Source organism: Homo sapiens, chromosome 7 (genome assembly GCF_000001405.40).
Source record: "Homo sapiens chromosome 7, GRCh38.p14 Primary Assembly".
NCBI lineage: Eukaryota > Metazoa > Chordata > Mammalia > Primates > Hominidae > Homo > Homo sapiens.
The window spans coordinates 144396339-144414843 of NC_000007.14; the positions used below are offsets into that span (position 1 = coordinate 144396339).

The window sequence follows — 18505 nt, forward strand, 5'->3', positions numbered from 1 at the left end:
TTTGGTGCCTCTGCAAGCTAGGGTGGGAGAGACAGAGAACATTCTGGACCCTTCGTCCTGGCCCAGTGAGGTCTGGGCCATTATAGTCTGGGGATGCTGTCACATCCTCCTGTGCGGGAGAGAACTGTCTACTTGCTATCCTCGGAGTGCTCCCCAGCCCCGCCCCCCATACACAAAAACAAGAGCTGTGGGAAAATAAGTCCTAGTTCACAATACTAGAGAAGTGACTTCAGATATTCTCAGGCTTCTCTTGTGATCCTGTCCCTATGGGGCCCAACTTCCAGAGAAAGGCCCAGACTCAGATTTGCTCAGAGTCAGTCATGGGTTTGGGAATAGAATATGGTTAAATGTCAGGACCGAAGGAAAAGCCCAAGATGCCCAGTTCCTTCTTTAGTGGGAGAGATGAGCCCAGGGAAGAGGCCCTCCATGTGGTCATGCCTGGTGGTGCCCACTTGAGAATGGCATCCAATGACTGCTCAGCCAAGTGGAATAAAAGGACGAAAATGGAGCTCTTCATTAGTGTGAGTGTGGAGACACATAATGGAGACACATAACCACAGAGAAAACCGCAGGACGGACTAGTTTACTGCTTACGGTGGACACTCCAGCTCATTTGTCAAGCAAGGATAGGAAACAAACAAAAACACCTGATACAACATTCAGAAGTAACACAGGCCACCTGCTTCCTTCAGGACCCCCACACAGAGTGTGAAGAAAAGGGAAGCGCCAGCCCTCTTTCTTCCTTCTCATATCAACAAGACGAGCCTACACAGGGGAAACGTCTAACTCTCCCCTCAGTCTACAGAGTCCACACTCTTTCCCAAACCCCCAACCCCTGTCCTCTCAGCGAGCCCAATCCTATCCCACCCAAGCAGCCTCTTTTCACTCTTTGACCCCCCAACTAGGGGACATGGCTATTCTTGTCATCCCCTCTGGCCTCCTCCAGTGCTGAGGGCTGATCCAGGGAAGCAGCTGGTGGTTCCTCTTTTGCCTTGCTGAGTAAGGGCCCAGTCCCTGGTCTGGCCCCTTCAGGCATCCATGAGAGAGCTGACGAAGGCTGCCTGCCCAGAGCCTGGGGGCAGGGAGTTGGAAATAGATCAGGAAAGTAGCCATCCCCTCCTGGGGGATGCCCCAGAGCTTGTGGGCAGAACGGACCAGGGAAGGGCAGCTCTGGCAAACAGGGGTCACTCCAGGAGGCTGTACCTGTGGGGTCGGAGGGTGTAGGAATTACCAGACAGGATGGAGAGTATCAACTATCATTAACAGTGTTCTACAACAGATCCCCCCGTGCCCCAACACACATAGACGCAGCTTAGGACCTCAGTGTAAGTCTGGGTCAAACTCTAGCCTCAGGGTCTGTCCTTAGGACCACACAGGCTCCAGCACTCAAGGTCCTGTGGTTTAGTAACATTGACACAAAGTGAACCATGGATCAGGCCAATGCTGTTTCGTACATGCAACAAGGAGACCAGGAACCACCTGATCTTTCCTCCCCTTCTGCTAGAATCTAGTCTTAATATGACAGATGTTTCTGGGATTTCAGAGGTCCAAGTGGCCCAGCAGAATATTAGCTGCCATCTACTCTAGGCCAAATATTTTCACTCCTATTGTATCTAATCCTCACCAAGTCCCTCCCTGACATAGAACTGTGAGTCCCATTTCAGAGTCCCAGAAACTGAGACTCAGGAGAGCTAGTAACTGGCTGAGCTGGACTTCAAGCCTGTTTTCCTGATGCCAAACTCCAGAGTTCTCTGCTAACTCTCACTGTGCTCTGCAGCCTCTGCAGAATTCGAGGGAGAAGAGCTTAATAGAACTAGGGGCAAACAGAAGGATTCATTCACCACCCATGACCTGCCTCAGTCTACCCTCCAGATAACTTGGCTCTTTGTCCCCTCCCACCTTCCTCAATCTCAAGGGGACCTTCTCTCCCAGCCTCAACTCACCTATATTCCCAGCAGGTGGTTGCATCAGGATCTGTCCTGAGGAGGCACCTGGGCAATAGCCCTGCGATGTGCCCCCGCTGGGGCCACAGGGAAACATAAAGAGAGAGTCTTCGGGCGGTGGAAGCGTCAGTGAACTGGGCATGGAGAAGGGGAAAGTGGGGAGGTAGGGCAACTTGGGCTGAGGGGACTGGAAAAGCGGGGGCTGTGGAGCCTGGGAGAACTGGAAGGGTCCTGGCTGGTTGCTCTGTTGGTAATCCTGGGGCTCCAGCTCCTCCAAATATGAACAGGGGGGTGGCAGGGTGATGCTGCAAGGACAGAGGAACAGCTGGTGAGGTGCAGGGGTGGGGGAGCTCCCCGTTCCTACCACAGTAGCGGAGTCCCTACCTCTCGCCTCCTCCTCATCTCCATGGTAAGCCCAGCCTTGCAAGGCTGCTGCAGCTGCCTCTTCTCCCCACTCCCGCTCCTAGCATCTTACCCTTGTTTCTGCTCTATTGCTGTGATCCCCTAGGTCATTCCCCAGATCCCCTTATCCCTTTCATCCCCATCTCCTGTACCACTCTGTGCTCCTCTCAGTTAACCCTCTCCTCTCTGTGTCTATCTTCTCTCCATCTACACCCCCCTACCCCCACCCAGATAACTAGAGTGACCTACCCCCGTAGGTTCCTTACCTTGTCCCCCAGGACCCACAGGGGCCGTCCTTGTGGCTGCTGTCACTGCCAGCAACATCCATCAGCAGTGGCATCAGTTGGGGGGTGTGGACAGGGCCAAGGGGGAAAGGAAGATCGGCCCTTCGCACAGGTGGGGGGCTGAAGAGTGGGGGGGTCACCACCCTCTGAGCACCCTCACTGGGTTGGGTGGGGGCCAAAGTCTGGTCAGAAGTCAGCAGCATGGGGGGCTCTAGGAACAGAAGGCAAAGAGGTGCTATAACGGTAAGGAAATGGGAGGCAGGTTTGGCATCGCTGAATGGTAGACACAAGCCATGCCCAGGTCCCCCTGAATAGGCCCTGCTGGCTGAAACACTGGAGGACTCCAGTCACTCCCACCTCCATCAAACAAGGCCTGTCTTCACTATCTTTAGTTGCCATTTTCCCCCAGCTCTGAAGGTGGGAACTCACCTGGAAAGGTATCCAGAGGGGACTCCTGAGGGAAAGGGTCAGGCTTTGGCTCCATGGGCACAGCAGGTAGGATCTCAGCTGCAGAGCTGGAGGCAGGAAGAATGAAGACTGTAGCTTTGGTGGTCTCTGGATTTGCACAGGTGCCTCATTGCCAGGAGAGACACCAATTCCCAAACTCTGCCTCCTACAGGGCATTGGCAACTTCCCGATCCCATGGCAGCCAAAATCCCTCTAAATCTTAGCTGGCAACCCTAGGACTCATGCCTAGCCTTCCAATGGTCTCCTTCTAGACCCTCAGGATCCCAGCTTGGACCCCACTTCTACCCACAGGGATGATACAGAAAGAGGAAGAATTCTGACCTGCATTGACTGCTGGCAGGGCCAGGGGCTGCAGGATTGTCCTTGCTTTCTTTCCCATTCAGTTTCTCCATTTTTCGCCACTTGGCCCGGCGATTCTGGAACCACACCTATGGGGGGAAAGGTGCTTGAAGAACTGGAGAAGAGGGGCAGAGACTGAGGCTTAGGTCCTGGCTGTTGCACAAGGAGCTACAGGACTTTGGAAGGTCACTCCAGCACTCTGCTTCTGAGCCCTCCGTCAGGCTGGTTTTATCAAAAGTCTCTGCAGTGCCTTCCTCTCCTAATGCTCTCAGGCTGTGGCACTCTGGAAACAGTCAGGGACACAGCCACGTCTGAGGCCTCAATTCAGCTCCTACCCAGGCTACCGCTGAGCGCTCACTCTGCAATTCGAGTGTTTCAATGGTGGGCCCTCCGCCACTCCACCCTGCCACCAGTGAGCCGGCCCCCTTTACCATGATGCGCTGGGGGGTCACCCCCACCGTCTGGGCAATCTCTCGGCGTTTATCACTGTCAGGATAGTGGTCTTCTTGGAATATCTTCTCTAGCTCCTCCAGCTGATCTGAAAGAAGAAGAAACTTGTGTGAGGAGGACAAATGCCAGTGACAGGTAGGTGAAGAGAAAGAGAGGTGCTCACCAAGTATCTCCAACAGATGGGGCCACTGCCCCTAACCCAACACTTTCCCAAAGCCTTTTTCCTATTGGGCTGGGCCTTCTCGCTCTTGGGTGCTACAGCAGAGAGCAGTATGTTTACTTTCTTTACTCTTCTACCCTGGTCCCAACATCATTTTCTTTTTTTCTTTTTTAGACGGAGTCTCACTCTGTTGCCCAGGCTGGAGTGCAGTGGCGCAATCTCAGCTCATTGCAACCTCTGCCTCCCAGGTTCAAGCAATTCCCCTGCTTCGACCTACCAAATAGCTGGGATTACAGGCACAGGCCAGCATGTCTGGCTAATGTTTGTATTTTCAGTAGAGGCGGGGTTTCACCATGATGGCCAGGCTGGTCTCAAACTCCTGACTTCAGGTAATCCACCTGCCTCGGCCTCCCAAAGTGCTGGGATTACAGGCATGAGCCACTGTGCCTGGCTCCAGCCTCATTTTCTGATGTGATAACCCAACCTTCCCTCTGAGGGTCAGAGATAGTTGCACTACCGCGGCCCAAGAGAGAATCCGGGACGAAGTGACATACAAACTAACCCCATCCCTCAGGTCTCCTGGGGGTAGATTCTTCACACAGCCCCACCTTTCCCCAGGATGACCCCAGATCTCTTCGGTTTCCTCTCTTTAGGGACTTACCTGAGCGGTATAGGGTTCGTGTCTTTTTCCTAATTTGGCAGGTCACTTCCGGGGGCCCCTGCTTGTGGTCTCTGTTTTGGTTGCTCTGCGCCAATGTACTGAGGAGATTGGCCAGGTGGCAGGGCCCCCGGCCTGACCCACAGGGCACTGGGTTGTGTGTGGCACGGGCTGAGTTAGGGGCACCCGGAGATGATGTTGGGGCCAGACCCATGGCATTAGGCTTTTTCTGCTTCCCGGGGGCTGGAGAATAGGACCTCTTTCCTATCTTCACCTCTCCCACTGGGAGGGAACAATCTTCCCCCTGAGTCTGGGGCCTGGAGCGGGCTAGAGTTCTGTCTTTGTGGGGAGCCCTGGAGCGGGGGGGCGGGCACAGTCTCCCAGCATCAGCCCCGGTGGCTTCTCCAGAGACTGCTGGCGGCTTCTTCTCTCCTGAGATGGTGCAGGAGGGTGGCAGTTCCTCACTCTGAGTGTCCTGAGCATGAGGGGCTGAGCCCCGGAGCAGTTCCTCCTCCCCGGGTCCTGCAGCCAGGGGCTTCTCTCCAGCTTTCTGGCCTGTGGGGAGCCAACATCCACTGACCTTAGCACCAGGGAGAAGGAAGAACTGGACCAAGAGGAAGTGCTGCTTCCTGCTTTGCAAACGGTTTGATCTTAAGCTTTAATTTGTCTACCTATCAAATGGGGTAATAATTCCACACTTACCTTCCTAGCTTGACTATTGTGAGGATTAAATCAGATAACCCAACTTCTTTGAAAAATGTAGACAAATTTATGCAATTCTGAGACGGCGTTAGCTCATGGTATCTCCTAATTTGGGGGTACTCACCCCTTGTGAGTTCCCTTTTCCCAGACACCAGGGGTATGAGTTTGAGGGACTGTTCAGGTATCTCTAAGGGATCATGTTGGGGCTGCGGATGGACCAGGAAGACAAAGAGAAACAGATTGACAGAGATTCTGCTTCTCCCAAGGCGGGATGCTGTTTCTGCTGCACAACAGGCATTATTGCTTGGAGAAGGGACAAGAAAGGATTCGATTGTCTCCAGCAGCCGAGGCAAGAGCATCAAAAGAGATAACAGGGAGAACCATGGAACTCTGTCTCTGCCAACTCTCCTCAGCTCCATACATGCCCCCCCGCCCGCACCCCCCACCCCACTACCATCCAGCACATCCACTTCCTCCCCCTCCCTGCAAAGCAGGATCTCACTCTCTGGTAAACCTCTCTTTCGAGTAAGGAAACTGGGACCCAGCTAGAACTAAAAACCCTACCACTCATCCCTAAAGCTTGCCTTCCTTTCTGTGAGCTGACTGATGCATTGGGAGCTTATCATGTTCCAGGCATGGCGCTAAGCACCTTTCAAAGATTAGCACAGTGCATATTTAATCTCTGCAAGAACGGCACTGCTAATATTCCCTTCTAACAGATGAAGAAATGAGGATGAGACAGCAGAGTAATATGTCCAAGATCACACAGCACCCTGAGCACGTACTCTGTGTACTTAATCACCACATGGAGTCCTTCCTGGGGCCATCAAATGATCCCCCCACTTTCACCTCCCAACTGACTCATAACTCCAAGAACCCTCAGCTCAGGGAGCTGCTTTATCATTTCCAACTAAATTGGAACATTTGTAATGAATGCTAAGTAACGACTAAGAGCTACTGTTACTTTAATGAAAATTGCATGAGATAGGTCTTAAGGAATAACATTTTTTTTTTTTTTTTTTTTTTTTTTGAGATGGAGTCTCGCTCCGTCGCCCAGGCTGCAGTGACATGGTGCAATTCTGGCTCACTGCAACCTTGGCCCCCTGGGTTCAAGCGATTCTCGTGCCTCTGCCTCCCAAGTAGCTGGGATTACAGGTGTGTGCCACCACACCCAGCTAATTTTTGTATTTTTAGTAGAGATGGGGTTTTGCCATGTTGGCCAGGCTGGTCTCCAACTCCTGACCTCAGGTGGTCCACCAGCCTCGCCCTCCCAACGTGCTGGGATTACAGACTTGAGCCACTGCGCCTGACCCTAGGAATGACTTTGTAACAGAGTGTCAAGGAAAAAGGTCATGGTCAAGGGTGCTGTTCCAAGTCCTTTCCTAGGACACAGGCTGGACCCGACTTGCATGAGAGGGTCTGGGCTGGTGAAGAGGGTGAGCAGGCCTCTATGGAGTGAAGGGACAAAGCTGGCTGGTGGTGTGGGGAAGCAGGGACAAATTTGTTTTACAGCATTTTAGGAGAGCTTGTACTGTAGCAAAAAGCCTGGTACCCAGCACTGTGGGTGCTCCGTAAGCACGTGTCCTATGGGAGTGATGTGCGCTAGTAAGAAGGGGACGGGTGTCAGACCTAAGACTAGAAGGGTCCTGGGGCTCCCAGGGTTCTCTCCCCTGCGCGCTGGGAGACTGGAGGCGGGCAGGGGGCGCGGGGGAGCGGGGAGGGGGGTTGCAATCCCAAAGCACAGGGGGCAGTGAGGTCGGCCTCCTCCCACCCTACCCCACCCGACTCCACCCGGCCCTCGGCCTACTGAAGCTCTTAGGTCGGCTAACGCTGACCTGGTGATCACAGGCCTCCCCCCCTCCCCGAACCCCCAAAGCCTGACCCCCTCGCACGACGGGGTCTCCACACTCACCCAGCGGTCCCTGGCAGGGATTCTCTGTGGGTTCCATGGCCTGGACTCCCGCCGCCGCGGCCGGCCCGTGATGCACAGGCGCGGCCTAATGAAGCCTCGCCGGGCGGGCAGGTGTGCAGCCCGCACGGGCCGGGCCGGGCCGGGGGAGCCGTAGCCCGAGGCTGCGCCCCCTCACCCCCACCCCCACCCCCAGGGCGAGGCCGGCCCGGGAGGCTCGGCTGGGGCAGCTGCGAGGGCGGGGAGGACCCGGGCCTGGGCGCCGCCTGCTCCGCTCCCCCCAGCCAGGAGCCCAGGCCCAGGTGCGGGTCTCCTTCAGGCGGCCCCTCCCGTGGCGGGGCTGGAGGGCGAGGCTGGGGTGGGAGGCGGGAGCGAGGCTACCCGGTGGTCTTCGGGGGGCTGGGCCCAGCCGTGGGGCTCACCCACACCCTATGGAGGACTCAGTCCTGGATCGTGGCTAAAGCCCTTCCCTGTGGACTGTGGAAGGCGATTTCTAGAGCCACTCCTCAAAGGGGAAGCGCTGGGTTGCCCAACTCCCATGCTAGGGCCCCTCCAAGCCTCAGTATTAAGGAGCTTCAAAGTCCCCTTCCTGATTTTGTTTGTTTTTGTTTTTGAGACGGAGTCTTGCTCTGTCGCCCAGGCTGGAGTGCAGTGGGGGATCTCGGCTCACTGCAACCTCTGCCTCCCGGGTTCAAGCGATTCTCCTGCCTCAGCCTCGCGAGTAGCTGGGACTACAGGCGCCCGCCACCACGCCCGGCTAATTTTTTGTATTTTTAGTAGAGACGGGGTTTCACCACGTTGGCTAGGCTGGGCTAGAACTCCTGACTTCAAGTTATCTGCCCGCCTGGGCTTCCCAAACTGCTGGAATTACAGGCGTGAGCCACAGCGCTCGCCCCCCGTACTGATTTGAGGGTCTCCAGAGCACAAAGGCTGCACCGGATGATGAAGAAGGAGCTGAAAGAGCCACAGACTCCGTAGATCCGGTACAGTCCACACACAGGAAATTCAGGTACAGCCAGGGGCGGCCCTGCCAGGGACGGTGTGGTTACTGTGTTTCCATCCATTTGGTGTTTCGATTTTATTCTCTGAGAATGGAAGGGACTTTCTTGGGGGAGATCTCACAGGGGTGCAGCCTTATGATTCCTGGTTCACGGAATGTTTCTTACTATCTTTATACAAACAAAATCAGAATTTAAAAATTCTTGCCTCTTCTGAGCGGGGAGGGGTAGAAAGTCGGAGGGCTGGTCAGATAGAAACAGGTGCTTGGAGCTGGGTGGGGAGCGGGGCGGCCTGGAACAGAATCCAGGTGTTTTGCTTTAAGGATTTAAAAGACTCTGGACACCACGTGCTTTCATGCTGAAATCAGCTGTGGGTACATTTTCCTATTCCTTTAATTGCCTTGAGGGGCTTGGCCTACACATGTGGACTTTGGAGGATTGTGAGACCTTTAGTTCTTTCTGAAACACAAAAATGTAAACTAACTTCGAATATGATCAAGACTTCAGGCATCTGCTGTTTCATTCTGATGCCTTCCATAAGGCGGATAGCTTCTGTTTTATGAGGCGTTCAGATAGATGGGGCCCAGTTTCTGTGCTAGAAATGAAGCATTCCAGGACAAGTGAGCAAGCAGTTGTGGGGCACTGACATTGCTTCCAGGATCATTTGATGGTGAAAAATCAGGACCATTTGGTGGCGACATGGTAAATGGAACCCAGGCACGTCCTTGCTCACAGAAGCTTACTGGTGGAGGGAAGATCATCAAATGATCATGTCAGGGTAGTGTGGTCAGTGGTGAGTTAGAAGTATGAAAGGCTACTATGGAGTACGGAGGAGCAGGAACCCCTTCTGGACTAGGATGGAAGCTTCTTGGAGAAGGTGACACGTGGGCTATGAGCTGTGGAGTTTACCACATCACAGTCCCGCTTAAAACCTGACAGTGACCCCTGACTGCCAGGATGAACGGCAAGCTCTGACATCTGGGTCTTTCCCCTGGATCCTCAGCTCCCCTGTGTTGCCCACCTGGGTATTTCAGTGGTGGTGTGTGTATGTCTTTTTTGGCCTAATGTTTCTCAAAGAATGTTCTTAAAACCCCCTGGATCAGAATTTCTTAGGGAATTTGTTTAAAATGGGGGTTCCAATCCCCAGAAATCTTAATTGGTTGGTCCAAGGAGGTACCCAGAAACATCCATTTGAATCCCCTCAGGTAATTTTTGTGCGTTTCAGAGTTTGAGACACTTTTAGACTTTGCAAAAACTAAGTCAGTTAAAAACTATCCTGGGGATAGGAGTAGGGGCAAGGGATGGTAGGGGCCTGTGTGGGGAAAGGAAATGACCTTTTGCCCTTTACTGAGGTGTCTGCTGCAGTGAGAAGCGGGTGCAATTAATTTCTTAACAGATTATCCTGTCACATTAAACTGAAAATAAGTCATCCTTCTCTGCCATTGTTTATGTTGTATTTCCTCTCTCTAGCTGGCTCCCCTCTGCCAGGGTGAAGGTCAGAAAGCAAAGATCCAAATTGCCCATAGGCTGTATGGCACCCTTCCACAAACTGAAAGATACAGGGTCTGAGTCTACAATAGATTTGCATAGGGACTTAGAGAATTTAAAATATTGGCATTTTTCCAGCGGGGCACAGTGGCTCATGCCTGTAATCCCAGCACGTTGGGAGGCCAAGGTGGGCAGATCACCTGAGGTCAGGAGTTTGAGACCAGCCTGGCCAACATGGTGAAACCCTGTCTCTACTAAAAATACAAAATTTAGCTGGGTGTGGTGGCACACGCCTGTAATCCCAGCTACTTGGGAGGCTGAGGCAGGAGAATTGCTGGAATCCAGGAGGTGGAGGTTGGAATAAGCCAAGATCATGCCACTGCACTCCAACCTGGGTGACAGAGTGAGACTCCGTCTCAAAAAAGAAAAAAAAAAAATTGGCATTTTTCCAAACATAGAAATGAGGTTTTTTTCCCCCACAAATAATATAGTTGGATGTTTTGTTTATTTACATGAAGAATTTTATTGGCTGCAAGTGAATTTTATCTAAGATGTACATTGCATGGGAAAATGTCTGGTGAGTTTTGTTGGGAAGGTGTTGTGTTTTTGATATATCTTGTTAAGTCATATCTTCCATGGATCAACTTCAAGTGAAGGAGGTTTGCTATGGAAGTTAAAATACGGGCTAGAGCAAAGAGACGGCTCAATTATATAGAGGACAACAAGGTATTGTTTTAGGGGAACTTGGGGCTGTTTCTTCCTAAGTCCTGTTTGGTTGCATTTCATCTTTGTGATCAGCTGACTAGTTCATAGCCTAACTCAACTTTGTTTAGAGGACAGGGAGGTATTTTTTTTTAATTTTTAATTTTTTTTTTTTGGTTTCTTAGTTTTCAGAGCTAGACTTTACACCATTACCACCATGCACTTAGAAAGAGTCATTTCTTCCAAAATCTTTTTTTCCCCTCACAGATATGAGAATGCCAGAACAAAAAGAAAGGTGTCTGATACTAAAAAAAAAAGTAGTTAATTTTTTTCAGTCTATGAAGAGTAAGTGAAATAAGTGTTCTTGATCCTTCTCCCTCTCTCTCTATAATGAGAAAAATAACCAGAAGAAGGCGGCTGATTGAGAACATTTTTTGAAGCAAAACCACAAGGTAATGTGTTCTTGTTCTATGGGCCACACCCCAGTGTAGGCAGCATCAGGTCATTGGAACACCTAGGACCAGAAAGGCAAGAATAAGTTGTGAAAGACAGGCAGAAATCTGCAGGGAGATTGTAGTCACAGCCAGGGAGATCGTAGTCACAGCAAGGTATGGGAGGTCAGGGCCCCCGGAAAACCACCAGGAAGAGATGACCTGTCCAAAGCAGAGAGAGCGAAGGGAAGCCTGAGCCAGGCACGTGCTCAGGGACCGGCACTGCCAGAGCCCGGGCAAATGGCCAGATGATTGGATAAATACTGGGGACCGATGACAGGGAAAAAGTGAATGGTCCCAGAGACTGGGAGAGACACTGGCAACTGCCAAAGTATCTGCCCAGGGGCTTCCTTTGAAAGCCCAGAAAAGGATGGTTTCAGGTTGCCTGTGAAGGGAATTAGGAACACCTGGCTAGAGTGGAAACTGCCGGGCAGGGCCAGGACAAGTTCTGGCGTGAATTAGCGTTGTAACTTCTAATGCCCTTGCCCCAGACACTCAGGATAATCTGCGTTTAACAAGAATGGTGACTGTGTTTTAAACATTCTGCTGCTGCTGCCATTGTTTACAATTAATCGCCACTGCTGGTGTTTTGTAATTTAGAATGTACTTTCACATCCATTCTAATTCTCCTGATGTGCCTGAGTCTGGGATGCACTTTCTTCTTTCTATTCTATTCTAGTCTTCTCCAGGATTGCAATCGCTGTGCTAATTATAGCATGGCATTCAAGGACCCCTCAAAACCCGGCCCCAACCTTCACTCAGGCTTCCTCTTTGGCCACCACCACTCCCCTGCCCTGCCCCAAAGTCTCCCCCACTCTTCCAGGTTTTTGTTCCAAGCTTTTACCCTTTAGAAATCGCCATGCCTTCTCAGGGTCACTGATCAAGCTGTATATCAGCATGAAACTTTTTTTTTTTTTTTTTCCTGGCAAAGTCTTACTCATCCTCCAAAACCCAACCCAAATATTCCCTTTCTGGGGAAGCCTGGCTCAGCCTTCCACAGCCAGAATTAACTGCCCCCTCCTAGGTCCTCCCCTTGTACTGTGTTTACATGTATATTACATCACTGCATACAGGCTGAACTGATTAGCGTTTTGTGTATTCTCCACTGGATTGGGAGTTCTTAGATGGTAACATGCATCTATTCAGGCCCGGTGCTTTCTTCTTGCTTTCTAAGTATCAACTCATTGAATTCTAACAACCTATGAAGTTCTATCATATGATTATCCCCATCTTATTGAAGAAAATGTAGCATAAAGAGTTTAATACTTCTCCGAAGGTGACAGTGGCCACCTCAGATTTGAACCCAGTTAGTCTGGTTCCTGCCTGCACTCCTAAACACTAGGCTACACTGTTTATTTGATTGTATCCATCACTGTACTGGCATAGTGAATCCCGCATGGGGGATGGATCATTGTTCAGTGACAAAAAGTTGACCATTGCCAGGAGTTAGGGAGCAGGGGAGGGAAGTGGCTGTGAGTTCAAAAGCGTAGTAGCAGTGATGGAACCGTTCTGAATCTTGGCTATAGTGGTGGTTCCACAAGTCTACACACAAGATAAAACTGCACAGAACTAAATACACACCAGTGCATGAAAACTGGTGAAATCTGAGTAAGGTCACAGACTGTATCAAAGTCAATTTCCTGGTGTGGTATTGTACTGGCGTGACAGAAGATGTAAAACGGGGAAAGTGTATATGGAATCCCTGTATTATTTCTTACAACTGCATGTGAATCTACAATTATCTCAAAAAGCAGGAAAAAAGTTGATCCTAGTGTTCTGACCACAAGTTTGGTTCTCCTGGACTTGGTTAAATATAATTCACAGAAATAATGTTTTGGTATAGTAGCATTATTAACTTTTGCTTAATAGTAACTTTAAAATATAGATTTAAATGATATCTACACCTTTAACAGGGGTGTGGGTGAGCAAGCAGGAGAATTTATATCTAATTTGTTCTAAAAGTAAAACAATAACATGTCTCATAATAGGAATGCAAATTTATTAGAAAAAAGGGTAAATACCGAACAACTGAAAAATGAAGAAGATGCTATTTCTCATCAAACAACAGTATCGGTTATTAACAATTTGGCACATTTCCTCACAGCATTTTTTCCATTATTGCTGTTTTGTATATGATTTTCATGATTGTAATTACACTCCATATATAATTTCAGGCATGTCTCCCTTAAAATGTACTATGAAAAGCACAGTTCTGTATTGTTTCAAAGTCTTCAGAATTTATTGAGTGGCAGTACTGTTATTTAACTATTTTTCAACTGTTGGAGCAATCTTTTGAACTTAAATATTATACGTTTTAAAAAATTAAAAAGGCAAATTTGAAATACAGCTTGCATATTTTTCCCTTAATGGCTTTTAAAAAATAAAAACCTCTTCCACTTGGTTATTCATCTCCCTCTAGATTTTTTTAATAGTCCCAAACCCATGAGAAGCCATGAGGCTGTTTATTTCACAGGAATAGACAGGCTGCCTGGCTGGCAAGTGGATAGCTAAGCGTAACTTCAAGAAGGGGTCCGGGATTCTAAGGTCGTAAACCTGACAGCCAGCAGGGCAGCTTTAGTGAGAGGCAAGAAATGTCCCTGAACAAGGTATTTTTTCCTCCTTTGGTATCTTGGGTCTGTACCAGTTCTGCTGGTGGCTTGATAGATTTTTCCAATGTTTGAGTCTAGGGTCACTGGCTCCCAAGAGGGGATGCTCTACCAAGAGTCCTCAGTGTATGGGAAGACAACTCTGTCTTCTGTTCAGAGTGTGGTGCTCACAATTTTGCTGTTGCTTCCAGGACATGAGCTCACCCTCCTGGGCTTTGAAGCCATCCTTGTCTCTGGTGTCCCAGGTACCCTCCAGGTCTGGTGATGTTAGTGTCAAAAGGAGAGCCATGTCATGGCCAGCAGGTTCCTCTATCCTTTTGGGGCAACACACTTTAAGCTCACTAACTTTATGGTGACAATTCTAGATCTGTAAAATTGAAGATACTCGAGCTTGTCTTTAAATATCTCCTTTGCTTGATGTCAATTGAGGGCAAGATCAGTAGTGTGGGTTAGAAGCTGGGAGCAGCTTCCTTTGCACGGAGGAGAGAATGGTGAAATATTAGGCTTGCGTTTAGTGAGGCGTAGAGATTAAACAATGATAGCAGACTAGATTGATTACCTGACAAATAATTAGGCCTGCAAAACCTGTCATTCCGTTGCTTGGAAGGAAGCAATCAAACTGGATAGGCTATGAGATCCAGCCTTTGTTTTGCAAAGGGATTCTGATCGTTTCTGTTTTACAAGCTGCATTGCTGTATGCTGCACATGTTATTAAGGTGGTGCAAGGCAGTGCAGGTTGTGAGTGGGCAACCTGGAGCTCAGTCAGGCTCTCATTCAGAGCAGTCCTAAGGAAAAGGAGAGCAGAGCAACAGAGAGGGAAAAGCCATATTTGGAACTAGAGATGTACTAGATATCACTGGATATGCATTCTTGAGTCAGGAGACCTAGTTTATGATCTGAGCTCTTAGAGATCCTGCTCCAAGGTCCAGTTCTTCAGCTTCTCGGTTGATGTGGGCTCCTGAGCAAGGGAAACACATCTCTCAAACTTAACCTGATTTTCAAACTGAATTCCTGATTCCCACCCGCAAACTTGTCACTCCTCCTGTCCTCCCGATCTTTGTATCCTCCACCCAGCTGGAATCACCCTTGATTTCTCTCTCACACACAGCATCTATAGAAACTGCCAGATTATTCCTGTTGCCCTCTTTTTACTCCCAGCCCACTGTCACCCATTTTCCAGAGATTTGCATGTGAAAGTCTTAAAATGTAAATTAAGGCCGGGTGCGGTGGCTCACGCCGGTAATCTCAGCAATTTGGGAGGCCAAGGCAGGAGGATCATGCGGTCAAGAGACGGAGACCATCCTGGCCAACATGGTGAAACCCTGTCTCCACTAAAAATACAAAAAAATTAGCTGGGCATGGTGGTGCACGCCTGTTGTCTCAGCTACTCAGGAGGCTGAGGCAGGAGAATCACTTGAACCTGGGAGGCTGAGCTTGCAGTGAGCCGAGATGGCGCCACTGCACTCTGGCTACAGAGCAAGATTCTGTTTCAAAAAAAAAAGAAAAAAAAAAAAAGGTAAATTAAGCCATATATGTTTTTCTCCTATTTGTATGCTTCAGTGATTTTCCAGTGTACTTACAGGAAAATTAAAACTTCTTGCTGTGGTCCTGTGTGATCCGGCTCCGGTTTACCACCCCAGCTTCATCTCAGGTGACTCTTCTGATCCTTCAAGCACTTGAAATAGATCAAATTTTCCCATTTCAAGGTGTTCACATATGCTGTTCCTGTGCTTGGCCAAACTATTCTCTTTGTTCTTGTGATTAGTTCATAGTCAGGATTGAGTTTAAATGGTATCCCTCAATGTCAAGTCCTTCAGCCACATTATCTGCTTAACATCTGCCTCCTGATACTTTCTGTTTCCATTACAACTCCTAACACAACATATAATTATATGTTTATTTGTTTACAATCTATCTCTTTTACTATATTTTAAGTTTCATGGGTACAGAAACTATCCCAGTTTGTTTCAACAATGTATACCTGTGTATAGGACATATCTAGCACAGTGGCTGGGCTCTAAGTGTTAACTGTTTGTTGAATGAATAAATGAACTAATAATGTGGACCTTTTAGTTGGAAAAAAGAGAAAATTATCAGATTTATGGCACAAATGGCAGTTTTGGGAAATTCACAATTTGATACATTACAGGTATTTGGTAAGCAGATTAAGTTACAATGCTTCCTGAAAATATGGATTGGCCATTTTGAGAACTGAAGAATCCAGAAACTAGGGATAAAATGTGGCATTTTAATGTCCATTCTAGAGAATATAATGAGACTTGCATTACACTTTGGTAAAGTCCATAGTCACCAGAGGCCATTGCTTTTCAGAGGCTGAGAAGAAAAGCAATAGTCAGAGCTACAGCCCATTAAGGCTGTTACAGTCTTCAAAGATGGGCACAGACAACAAAAAATGGCTTTGTAGGCAACATATAGTTGAATCTTGCTTTTTAAAATTCAGTCTGACAATCTCTGCCTTTTGATTAGGGCATTTAGACCACATATAAAAGTTGTTGAGCCTGTAATTCCAGTACTTTGGGAGGCCGAAGTGGGTGGATCACAAGGTCAAGAGATCAAGACCATCCTGGCCAACATGGTGAAACCCCGTCTCTACTAAAAATACAAAAATTAGCTGGGCGTGGTGGTGTGAGTCTGTAGTTCCAGCTACTCAGGAGGCAGAGTCAGAAGAATTGCTTGAACCCAGGAAGTGGAGGTTGCAGTAAGCTGAGATCGCTCCACTGCACTCCAGCCTGGCGACAGAGCAAGATTCTGTCTCAAAAAAAAAAAAAATTATTGATATAGTTGAGTTTAAATTTATGATCTTAGTGCTCTTTTTCTATTTGTCACACCTGTTCTTATTTCCTGTTTTCTCCTTATTTTTGAGTCATTGAATATTTTTATGACTTAATTTTATCTCATTTGTTGGCTTATTGAGTATATTATTGATTTATAAAATTCATTGATTTTTTTTTTAGTGATTGCATTGGGACTTAAAAGATATATGTTTAATTTATCAGAATGTGCCTTAAAGTGACATTAAATCACTTCATTGAAATATAAGAACCTTACAACATTAGACTTCTTCTTTTTTTTTTTTTTTTTTTTTGAGGCAGAGTCTCGCTCTGTCGCCCAGGCTGAAGTGCAGTTGCGCCATCTCAGCTCACTGCAACCTCCGCCTCCTGGGTTCAAGTGATTCTCCCAGCTCAGCCTCCCGAGTAGCTGGGATTACAGGTGTGTACCACCACACCTGGCTAATTTTTGTATTTTCAGTAGAGACAATATTTCACTATGTTGGCCAGGCTGGTCTTGAACTCCTGACCTTAGGTGATCTGCCCGCCTTGGCCTCCCAAAGTGCTGGGATTACAGACAACATTAGACTTCTGTGTCTCCCCTCTCAGCCTTTGTGCTATCATTATACAGTTTTCTTCTATGTGTTATAAACCCCACAACACATTGTTATTTTTTATTTCAATGGTCAGTTATCTTTAAAAATATTTTCAAAATAAGGAAAAAGAGTATTCTGTATTTACTTACATATTTATCATTTCCAGTGCTCTATCCTTCGGATATATCCAAAGGATATCATTTTCCATGTTAAAGCAATGTCTTCAAGATTTCCTGTAGTAAAAATCTGGTGACAATTTCTTTCAGCTTTTATATTTGTGAATGGTGTTTATTTTGTCTTCATTTCTGAAAGCTGGGTATAGAATTCTATGCTGATATGTTTTGTTGTTTCTTGAATACTACTATGAAGATGTTGGTCCATTTTCTTCTACCTTATATAATGTCACTAAAGAAAAAGCTGCTATCACAATTCTTATCTTTGTTTCTCTGCACAGGTGACTTTTTGTCTTTAGCTGATTTTAATATTTTCTCTTTATCACTAATTTTAAATAGTTTATGATGTGCCTTAGTGTAGTTTTCTGTATGTGTCTTGTGTTTGGGATTCATTTAGCTTCTTGAATTTGTGAGTTTATAGTTTCCATCAAATTAGGAGATTTTTTTCATTGATTATTTCTTCAAATATTTTTTTCCATCCTTCTCTCTCTCCCTTTCTTTGGGGCCACCAATTTTACAGATATTAGCCTTTTGAAGTTGCCTTATGGTTCCCTAAGGCAACTGTTTTTTTGTCTCTGTGTTTCATTTTGGAGAGTTTCTATTGCTATATCTTCAAGTTTTGTATTTTTTTCTTCTTCAGTGTCTGTAGTTATTATATCCAGTTTGTCATCTCAGACATTAATTTTTTTCATCCCTAGACATTTGATTTGGGTGTTTTATATCTTCAATGTCTAAACATGCAAATATTCTCCTTTATCTTCCTGAATAGATGAAATAAAATTATGTAACTGCTTTAACGCCCTTGTCTACTATTTTTATATCTATTTCTATCAATACTTTTGTCTAGATTATGGCTCATTTTTTTCTGCTGCTTTGCGTAGCTGGAAGTGTTTTATTAGATGCTAGACATTGTAACATTGTGAATTTTACCTTACCGGATTTACTGTGTGAGAGGGTGTGTGTATATGTAAGTGTGTGTGTGTGCTTGTGTGCTTGTTCTGTATCCTGTTACTTGGAAGTACTATCACCTTTTCAAGACTTACTTTTAAGTTTTTTAAGATAGAGAGGGATTCCAACTAAGGCTAATTTTCCCTGCCAAAGCAATATCTTCTAAATACTCCACCCAATGCCCCATGAATTACAATGTCCTTCCACTCTGGCTGGTAGAAATCCAAACTATTCCTGGCCCTGTGTGAACTTCACTGGTTATTTTACCTTTTCTTTTTCATTGGTTCTTTCCTCGCTAGGGTAGTTTCCTCACACACATGTAGTAATTAGTACCCAGCTGAGGGTTCTCTTTCTCCATCCTTCTCTCCTTCAGCTCCTCTCTGGGTGGTGCTCTCCTTC

At 47.4% G+C, this 18505-nt stretch overlaps 1 protein-coding gene across 4 annotated transcripts; it reads right to left on the reverse strand.

Moving 5' to 3' along the window:
* NOBOX (NOBOX oogenesis homeobox) lies at positions 556-13889 on the reverse strand. 4 transcript variants are annotated; one of them, XM_017011742.3, is made up of 10 exons: positions 13805-13889; positions 8218-8342; positions 5531-5612; positions 4708-5259; positions 3868-3974; positions 3419-3525; positions 3059-3144; positions 2612-2840; positions 1944-2248; positions 562-1203 (listed from the first exon to the last, which is right to left on the reverse strand). In XM_017011742.3, the coding sequence occupies exons 1-10, from the start codon at positions 13887-13889 to the stop codon at positions 902-904; spliced, it is 1980 nt and encodes a 659-aa protein (XP_016867231.1). In that variant the 3' UTR covers positions 562-901. The 4 variants fall into 4 exon arrangements, with proteins under 4 accessions (NP_001423330.1, NP_001423331.1, XP_016867231.1 ...); NM_001080413.3 differs by having other exon boundaries at positions 902-1203; positions 3772-3974; NM_001436401.1 differs by lacking the exons at positions 5531-5612; positions 8218-8342; positions 13805-13889 and adding an exon at positions 7319-7355 and having other exon boundaries at positions 556-1203.

Excerpts from the sequence above, each read along its gene's own strand:
- NOBOX (NM_001080413.3), bottom strand. The coding sequence starts at position 13,889 with ATGGCTCTCCTTTTGACACTAACATCACCAGACCTGGAGGGTACCTGG. Across the intron at positions 5,613-8,217 it reads CTCTGGAGACCCTCAAATCA|CCCCAACATGATCCCTTAGA; the intron begins GTACGGGGGGCG and ends GTCCATCCGCAG. Across the intron at positions 3,526-3,771 it reads AGCGCTCAGCGGTAGCCTGG|GTGTGGTTCCAGAATCGCCG; the intron begins GTAGGAGCTGAA and ends TTCCCCCCATAG.